This window comes from Homo sapiens, chromosome 8 (genome assembly GCF_000001405.40).
Source record: "Homo sapiens chromosome 8, GRCh38.p14 Primary Assembly".
Classification (NCBI taxonomy): domain Eukaryota; kingdom Metazoa; phylum Chordata; class Mammalia; order Primates; family Hominidae; genus Homo; species Homo sapiens.
Genome location: NC_000008.11, coordinates 97491920 through 97494060, shown reverse-complemented (window position 1 = coordinate 97494060; position 2141 = coordinate 97491920). Strand labels below are relative to the sequence as shown.

At 42.7% G+C, this 2141-nt stretch overlaps 1 annotated feature.

Annotated features, from left to right (window-relative positions):
* Positions 1118 to 1674: an enhancer, noted in NCBI's record as "OCT4-NANOG hESC enhancer chr8:98504615-98505171 (GRCh37/hg19 assembly coordinates)". NCBI's record gives its function as "activates a minimal SCP1, AML or CMV promoter by ChIP-STARR-seq in naive and primed H9 embryonic stem cells {active_cell/tissue: H9 hESC(naive and primed)}" and the evidence as "EXISTENCE:reporter gene assay evidence [ECO:0000049][PMID:30033119]".

Below are 2141 nucleotides of genomic sequence, written 5' to 3'. Positions count from 1 at the left end.
TGGAGTCTTACTCTGTCACCCAAGCTGGAGTGCAGTGGCACGATCAAGGCTCACTGCAACCTTCGCCTCCCAGGTTCAAGCAATTCTTCTGCCTCAGCCTCCCAAGTAGCTGGAACTACAGGGTCGCACCACCGCGCCCAGCTAATTTTGTATTTTTAGTAGAGACGGGGATTCACCATGTTGGCCAGGCTGATCTTGAACTCCTCACCTCAGGTGATCCACCTGCCTCAGCCTCCCAAAGTGCTGGGATTACAGGCATGAGCCACCGTGCCAGGTCCATTTTAGTCTTTCTTTGTAAATTTTCCCTAATAGTCTAGCTTTCTTTATCTACAATATACACTATTTAATTATTTGATTCTAGTACACATGTAAAGTGCTTCAGAATAGCTAACCCAGGGCTGGGTGTGGTGGCTCATGCCTGTAATCCCAGCACTTTGGGAGGCAGAGATGGGCATATCACAAGGTCAGGAGATCGAGACCATCCTGGCCAACATGGTGAAACCCTGCCTCTACTAAAAATACAAAAATTAACTGTGAGTGATGGTGTGTGTCTGTAGTTCCAGCTACTCAGGAGGCTGAGGCAGGAGAATCACTTGAACCTGGGAGGTGGAGATTGCAGTGAGCCGAGATTGTGCCACTGCACTCCAGTCTGGCGACAGAGCGAGACTCCATCTCAAAAAAAAAAAAAAAAAAAAAAAAGACTAGCTAACCCATACCTTTGGGAGAAACACTTTAATAACTATATTATAGCATTTGTATACTATTAATTTTTTGTTTAGTCTTGTGTACTGTTAATTTTTTTCTTAGTCTTATATTTTATTTATTTTTATTTATTTTTTGAGACAGAGTCTTGCTGTGTTACCCAGGCTGGAGTGCAGTGGCACAATCTCGGCTCACTGCAACCTCTGCCTCCTGGGCTCAAGCAATTCTGCCTCAGCCTCTTGAGTAACTGGGATTACAGGCAACCACCACCATATAATCAGTTAGGATACTGTTTCCCAAAGTTATTTAGGCTAGTTTTTTTCTTCTTCATCCTCTTCAGTGTGGTTATTTATTTGTAATACAGTGAGGTCCATTTTTACTTTTTGTATTCTATTTTGGGTTTCCCAGTTTCCTTGTTAGTTTTAATTATTTGTTTATTTTGGGGGGATAGGTGAAGGATATGTAAAACTTTCTCCACCAGAGAAATCCCTAAGATTCAGAGCAAAAGTTTTGGTCTCTAGGGAGGCTCTCTATGAAAAGCAATCCCAGTTTAGTGTGGTAAGGACCACTGGCATTACGATGCATTCTTGCGGTGATACAATAGTAACTGGCCCCTTTGAAGAGAGATTAAAATGGCTCCCCAGAAACTCCAAATACTGCCCATCCACTCAGTGGATCAGACAGCCTTACCCCTTAAATCTCCACCTGCTGGGACTGGAATGAGCAGAGCCTTTTAAAGTGATCTGCCAAATAGGCACTAGCTTTTGCATGCTAAAGAATGAGCAGGGAATTCATCAGAGATGTGTCCCGCTTCCTCTCCCCTGCCTACCGTCTCATATCCCAATATGTTTTTTTCTCCCCATAAAAATAAATGTACTACAGTATAATTTCTCTCTTTCTTTTTCTGGATTCTTCCTTTTGATTTATTCCTTCACTGACCTGCTCTTTGATTTCCTTTCTTTTCCCTCTTATTGCTTTCTGAATGGTATTAGGCTTATATCCACAAGGTACTGCTGGACCGACCTGACATCACACATCTGTGCTTGGTCTTACCAGGTTTGCTCTGGATAAGAAGGGTCTTTCTAACAGGAATCATAATTCTCCCACCACAAACTGCAGAGACTACAGCTCCTGATTTGACTTCATTTTTGTGTTAAATCAGGTCAGAGGGGCCCTGTATATGTGGATAATTCACATCAGGGAGCCCTTAGAACCAGAAGAGATTCAGAGACCTCCACTCCACAAGGTGGGCAGGCAGCAATTATTGATAGAAAGTAGAAGTGAGGTATAGAAACATTTTGATTGGTTACAACTTGGCATTTGCCTAATTTGGACATGGTCTGATCAGTTGGCTGCCTGTGATTGACTGAGGCTCAGCTGCTGTGATTGGATGAGACTCAAGTTGTTTCAAAACTGTATTCCTAAATTAGGCTTTTAGT